Source organism: Homo sapiens, chromosome X (assembly GCF_000001405.40).
Source record: "Homo sapiens chromosome X, GRCh38.p14 Primary Assembly".
In the NCBI taxonomy this organism is placed as follows: Eukaryota; Metazoa; Chordata; class Mammalia; order Primates; family Hominidae; genus Homo; species Homo sapiens.
In genome coordinates, this window is record NC_000023.11 from 23,503,810 (window position 1) to 23,510,502 (window position 6,693).

The 6,693-nt window shown below is 43.9% G+C and overlaps 1 non-coding gene across 1 annotated transcript, besides 5 other annotated features; it reads right to left on the reverse strand.

Annotated features, from left to right (window-relative positions):
• Nucleotides 1,642-2,181: an enhancer, noted in NCBI's record as "NANOG-H3K27ac hESC enhancer chrX:23523568-23524107 (GRCh37/hg19 assembly coordinates)". NCBI's record gives its function as "activates a minimal SCP1, AML or CMV promoter by ChIP-STARR-seq in naive H9 embryonic stem cells {active_cell/tissue: H9 hESC(naive)}" and the evidence as "EXISTENCE:reporter gene assay evidence [ECO:0000049][PMID:30033119]".
• On the reverse strand, nt 3,402-3,504 carry LOC124905276 (small nucleolar RNA U13). Its single transcript, XR_007068439.1, has one exon. It is a non-coding gene; the product is annotated as a small nucleolar RNA U13 (small nucleolar RNA).
• Nucleotides 4,526-5,037: an enhancer, noted in NCBI's record as "H3K27ac hESC enhancer chrX:23526452-23526963 (GRCh37/hg19 assembly coordinates)". NCBI's record gives its function as "activates a minimal SCP1, AML or CMV promoter by ChIP-STARR-seq in primed H9 embryonic stem cells {active_cell/tissue: H9 hESC(primed)}" and the evidence as "EXISTENCE:reporter gene assay evidence [ECO:0000049][PMID:30033119]".
• Nucleotides 5,483-5,777: a silencer, noted in NCBI's record as "tiled region #9198; K562 Repressive non-DNase unmatched - State 24:Quies". NCBI's record gives its function as "represses a minimal TATA promoter and a strong SV40 promoter by Sharpr-MPRA in K562 cells {active_cell/tissue: K562}" and the evidence as "EXISTENCE:reporter gene assay evidence [ECO:0000049][PMID:27701403]".
• Nucleotides 5,483-6,059: a biological region, named in NCBI's record as "Sharpr-MPRA regulatory region 9198".
• Nucleotides 5,549-6,059: an enhancer, noted in NCBI's record as "OCT4-NANOG-H3K27ac-H3K4me1 hESC enhancer chrX:23527475-23527985 (GRCh37/hg19 assembly coordinates)". NCBI's record gives its function as "activates a minimal SCP1, AML or CMV promoter by ChIP-STARR-seq in naive and primed H9 embryonic stem cells {active_cell/tissue: H9 hESC(naive and primed)}" and the evidence as "EXISTENCE:reporter gene assay evidence [ECO:0000049][PMID:30033119]".

Below are 6,693 nucleotides of genomic sequence, written 5' to 3' on the forward strand. Positions count from 1 at the left end.
AGGAGTGGTGAGGAGTTTAGGACAGTTAAAAAGCTGTTTTCAAATGAGATAAATAACACGTATAGAAGCACTAGTCATGATATGGCTTGAGTTGTGACTTCTTTTTATAACTTGGAGAAGTATAAACTACCAAAATAATATGGGCTTTTGACTTTCTGTTCTTCTTATTCTGGATTCCTATGTTACAGTGTAGTATTGTGTCAGACCATGACCCCCTCCCCAAGGGCTAGTACCAAGTCTTACTCATCTTTATATTACTACCATCTGAAACGAAAGCTATGAAACCTCAGATAAAAAATGCTTATAGCTTTTGTTAACTAATAATGAATAAGTAACTGGCAAATTAATCAAATAGGTATATGGAAACTGTCTCGTACTGGTTTTTTGTCTTGTGTATTGTTTAAGTTAAAATAATAGAGTTGGGATGTCAGAAATTTTCTGAAGCCGACCACAGTCCCCAGCTGTGGCTTAGTAACCAAGGAAAACCAAGGATTTCTCCTTCTGATCCAGCAGTCGGCACAATGCCAGGTGAGTCAGTGACCGGTAGAGCAGGTGGTGACACATTCTAATCATAGCCCAGCTCTAGGCAAACAGCAGCTGCTAAGAGTTCCTGCTGGCCTGAGTAAGTTTTCCAGGCCCAGCCAGCCAAGAGCAGCCCTAGTTAAAACCCGCCAGCAGTTTTCCCATCTGTCTCCCTCATGCTACTTGCGACACTTCACACATCTCACCCCAAAGTGCATTGGGACTCTTGCTCCCCGTCTCTACTAAAACTACAAAAATTAGCCGGGCATGGTGGTGCACATCTATAATCCCGGCTACTTCGGAGGCTGAGGCACAAAAATCTCTCGAACTCAGGAGGCAGAGGTTGCAGAGAGCTGATATGGTGCCACTGCACTCCAGCCTGGGCAACACAGCAAGACCCCTTCTCAAGAAAAAAAAAAAAAAAAACAATAGGCAGAAGTGGCTTAGCACACAGTACTATGGCCGTCTTCCCCAAAGCTTGGACTACAGCAACCAATGTGAGGCTTAGCTCTGCAAGGAGACCCAAATCACAGCCACTTCATGCTGATCATCAGTTCTTTGCTACCTCCACAGTAATTCTAGGGATCATGCCAGCCCTGGAGGTGGGGAGTCCTGGGGGGAGGGAAAAAGGGTGCAGGCTACAGTGGGTCAGGATTCTAAGGGAAAACACTGAGTGAGGAAGCTGTGAGGGCCTTCTTAATGACTGGCTTCTTGAGCTGAAACTGGAAATCAGAGCCCTCTGGTTATGGACATTGGATTTTTCATATCCCAGAGAACGGTTGTTATGTTTTTTTTCTCTCTGAGAAGCCAACACAAACATTTCAGGGACTCAGAAGAGTACATTGTGTCCTCCCTAATTCTCAGTGACTCCTGCTAATTTTCCTTGAGATGTAATGAAAAGAACCCTGGGTACATTATCAGGCTGGGTTCAAACTCTATTTCAGCTGCGCTTCTCCATTCTAGCTGTGCCACTCCAGGCAAATTAGTTAGTTCCTCCGCTGATAAAATAGTGTCATCACAAAGCTCAATGATAAATACTAACTTGGTCTCCACCATATGTCAGGCACTGCTCTAGCTGCTCATTCTGGATTTACCGCAACCCTGTTGGGTAGAAGCTAATATTACTACCCTTTATACTGAAGGAAACCAAAATATTTCACTCTAAAATATATTTCCTTGACATACTTCAATATGGCTAATCAGAACGGCTGGAAATACAAGAATAGCTAAAAAGCTTTCTTTTGTGGGGAAGATATGTATCTGTAGAGAAAATCTGCATGGATGCAGCCAGGCTGTCTCTGAAGCCCTCCCTTGTTCAAAAGATGAACTGAGAGTCTGACACCTTTCAGGGCCTGAAAGAAACATTCACTAGCTCTCTGAGGACTGCTACCAGTGAGGTTTCTTCTACATAACAAAACTCCCTTTGTTAGCTAAGCCTCCTCTTCTCCCCCTCCCATAACCTGTCTTGCCACTGTAACCTGATTTCCACCATAACTTATTTTGGCCGTGCTCTGAGATCACAATCTTTCTGTAGCCTCAAGATGATATATAAGCCTCTGTACCCCATTAGAGGGTTGGAGTAATCATTCTGTGATTTTCCCTCAATGCACGTGAATACATTTCTCTGCCTTTTCTCTTATTAATCTGCCTTTTGTCAGCGGATTTTTCAGCAAGCCCTCACGGGGCCAAGGGGGAGTTTTCTCCTGGCTCCTATGACACAGATGAAGAAATGAGGCACAGAGAGGGCATGCAACATTCCCAGGGCCACACAGCTATGAGCAGGTGTGAAGTCTGAACTCAGGCAAACTGGCTCCAGGCCTGACCTTTTAACCACCATCTCCCAGAAGGTCAAAGTGCCTGGGAAACATGGAGATGGAACTTAACACTTGATGTATTTTACTTTTTGAAAGGTAATGTGGTGCAATGAAAAGAACTTGGGTTTTAGAGTCAGACTGACTAAATCCGATTTAATTGCTGTGTGATCTTGGGCAAATTACATCATTTCTCTGAGTCTCAGTATCCTAAAAATGAAGTTGCAATCATAATCCATACATTGGAGGGCCGCTGGGAGATGTGCACTTACAGCACCAAACCTGGCACTTGATGGGCACTCAAGTGAACATTAACTTTAATCCTCTTCCTAGGCAGGCATATGTAGAGCACTGAAATACTCTTCTGTGAGTATCCTAACATGTTAAGCCTTTCTTCCTTCTAATAAAGAAAACAAACAGGACAAATAAAAGCCATCCGCTCATAGTGATAGACAGGAGACAGCCAAGAGTCCCTGGTGAAACCCCACCTTCAAGCCTAAAACAGCCTGAAGGCTGAAAAACTGGACTGCTGGTCCCGGATGAAGCCTGCCCTTTCCCAGCTGATTCCTTCTGAATAATGCCCACCTGCTCACTGGGAAGATTGGTGGAGTCTCAGGAAGTTCGTGCCATCTGCAGGGGGAAGGAGCCTGGCCTCTCCTGTTCCTGGGTGGTGACCTGGGATTCAATCTGTGAGGAAGGAAACCTGCTAGCAGGACTCTCACTTTGCTGAGCATTATTTTTCCTTCTTCCTTTTTGCCCAATAAATTCCATTTTCCTCACCCTTCTATGTGTCTGCGAGCCTAATGTTTCCTGGTCATGTGACAAGAGCCCGGTGTGAGCTGAACTAAGGAGAAAGTTCTGCAACAATAGTACCTCAGGGTCTCTCTGCAACTTTCCTGGGACTTTTTTCTGATGGAAGGAAAATAAGAAATAGGAAAGATGTTTAAGGAAGCACCCATCCCTGTAATCAATGATACCAAATAAGACAGAATGGGCAGCCGGAGTGATAGTCATCTTCTTAATGTAATCAACTAGTATTCTGCCAAATTCCTCTTTATTTTTTTGTCAGGTCAGACGGGTAATGTGCCAACGTCTAACAAGATGCGAGGGTGGTACATCTCACACATGCATGTGAACACCCAATCGTCATGCTCGGGAACTATAAAGGGATCTCCAAATTCCTCTGTAGTTAACTAAACCTACTACAAAGTTGATTTAACCTCTGAGAAACTGAAATGCTGCCTTATGATACAGCATTTTTAAAATTTTTCTCTCAAATCTCAAATGCTTTAAGACAAATCCACTTCTTTCTTTCATCTTAGGGTAATAAAATCATTATTCAAACCCTGCAAAAGCATGAATCTCATTTCCTTGCCCCCATCTCTACTGAGATATTTTACCAATTAATATTTACTGTACAGAGTGGGCCTGTTTTAACATTGCACTCCAGAAAGCCTTTTACTAAACTATTTTCTTGAGAGCACGGTATCTTGCCGTAAAGACAATAACTCCCAAGATCTTTTTTCATAACCTCTATTAGAATGTAAATCACAATAGCAAATATGCACTGACACAAGTACCCTGTAGGTTAAGTTGCTTACACCTGACTAGGAATTGCCACAAAACCCTGATCAAATTTGTCAGGTTTGACGTAGGATTCTAAGACTTATTTATAAAGCAATATTTTCAATATCTCCCCAGAACTCCCAAAGCTATATCTGAGACAATGATAAAAATCCATGAAATTAATTTCATCCTCAAAATCAAAGCAGCTGCATTAATAATTAACTTAATACATTTCAAAGCCATCTCAATTGTGCCTACAAATCTAGCACAGATTGAGATCAAACCTGGAACACAATTCCATTTTCCAAACTATGAATTAATGCTGATGAAGGGTGAAACTGCTGACCCAAAAATACCTATTACGTTAACCATCATTCACATCAGCAGCAGCAGCATCCTGTCCTTTGCACAAGAAGTAGACACCTATTGACTCACTTTTTAGAAGGCTCTGTCCTTGAAATATTTTGTCAGTAAGAATGTTGAACTTGATCCAGACATCTTTACTCAATTTCAATTCTGATCAACATTTTCAAGGACTCTAGCCAGGGTTAAATGAGCAGTCTATGGCCAAGGACTAACACAAAGTTAACTGTTTTACCAGGAAATCAAACACTTTACCTTGATCCAATAAGCATCTACAGAGTTATGGTGAATCACACTGATATGGTTTAAATCTGTGTCCTCACCCCAATCTCATGTTGAAATGTAATCCCCAATGCTGAAGATGGGGCCTGGTTGGAGGTGAGTGGATCATGGGGGCAGTTTCTCATGATTTAACACCATCCCCCTTGGTGCTATCATAGCAATAATGAATTCTCACGAGATCTGGTTGTTTAAAAGTATGTGGCACCTTCCCCCTCTCTTGCTCCTACTCTGGCCATGTAAGATGTGCCTGCTTCCCGTTTGCCTCCTGCCATGATTATAAGTTTCATGAGGCCTCCTCAGAAGCAGAAGCTGCTATGCTTCCTGTACAACCTGCAGAATCATGAGCCAATTAAACCTCTTTTCTTTACAAATAACCCAGTCTCAGGTATTTCTTTATAGCAATGCAAGAATGGACTAATATAGAAAATTGGTACCAAGGAGTGGGGCATCGATATAAAGATACCTGAAAATGTGAAAGCAGCTTTGGAACTGGATAATGGGGAGAAATTGGAAGAGTTTGGAGGCACAGAAGAAGATAGGAAGATGAGGGAAAATTTGGAACTTCCTAGAAACTTATTGAATAGTTGTGGTCAAAATGCTAATAACGATATGGACAGAGATGGCCAGGCTGATGAGGTCTCAGACGAAGATGAAGAACTTATTGGGAACTGGAGTAAAGATCACTTTTGTTATTCTTTAGCAAAGAACTTGGAGGCATTGTGCCCCAGCTCTAGGGATCTGTGGAACTTTGAACTTGAGAGTGATGATTTAGGGTATCTGGCAGAAGAAATTTTTAAGCAGCAAAGTGTTCAGGAAGTAGTCTGTCTGCTTCTAACAGCCTATGCTCATATGCATGAGCAAAGAAATGACCTGAAACTGGAACTTATATTTAAAAGGGAAGGAGAGCATAAAAGTTTGGAAAATGTGCAGCCTGGCCATGTGGTAGAAAAGAAAAACCCATTTTCAGGGGAGGAATTCAAGCTGGCTGCTGAAATTTGCATAACTAAAAGGAAGGCAAAGTGCTGATAGCCAAGACAATGGGGAAAAGGCCTTGAAGGCATTTCAGAGATCTTTAAGGCGGCCCTCCCATCACAGACCCAGAAGCCTAAGAGGGAAGAATGGTTTCCTGGAACAGGCCCAGGGCCCCACTGTGCCAGGCAGCCTCCAGACACTGCTCCCTACATCCCAGCTGCTCCACCTCCACCCATGGCTCAAAGGGGCCCAGCTACAGCTCAGGGCACTGCTCCAGAGGGTGTAAGCCATAAGCCTTGGAGGCTTCCAAGTAGTGTTAAGCCTGCAGGTGCATAGAGCACAAGAGTTGAGGGTTGGCAGCCTCTGCCTAGATTTCAGAGGATGTATGGAAAAGCCTGGATGTTGAGGCAGAGGCCTGCTGCAGGGGCACAGCCCTCATGAAGAACATCTACCAGGGTAGTGCAGACGGGAAATGGGAGGTTGGAGACCCCACACAGAGTCCCCACTGGGGCATTCCCTAGCGGGGCTGTGAGAAGAGGGCCATTGTCCTCCAGACCCAAGAAAGGTATATCAACCAGCAGCTTGTACCCTGCACCTGGAAAGGCTACAGGCACTCAACGTCAGCCTGTGTGAGCAGCTGCAGAGGCTGAAGCCTGAAAAACCACAGAGGTGGAGCTGCCCAAGACCTTGGGAGCCCACCCCTCACACCAGTGTGCCCTGGATGCGAGACATGGAGTCAAAGAATTTTATTTTGGAGCTTTAAGATTTAATGACTGCCCTGCTGGGTTTTAGACTTGCATGGGGACTGGAGCCCTTTTCTTTTGGCCAATTTCTCCCTTTTGGAATGGAAGTATTTACCCAATGCCTATAATCCCGTTGTATCTTGGAAGTAACTAACTTGCTTTTGATTTTACAGCCTCATAGGTGGAAGGGACTTGCCTTGTCTCAGATGAGATTTTGGACTTTGGACTTTTGAGTTAATGATGAAATAAGGTAAGACTTTGGGGGGACTGCTGGGAAGGCATGATTGTATTCTGCTCCTAATTCAGTCATGTAAGATGTGCCTGTTTCCCCTTTACCTTCCGCCATGATTGTAAGTTTCCTGAGGCCTCCCCAGAAGCAGAAGCCACTATGCCTCCCGTATAGCCTGCAGAACTGTGAGCCCGTTAAACTTCCT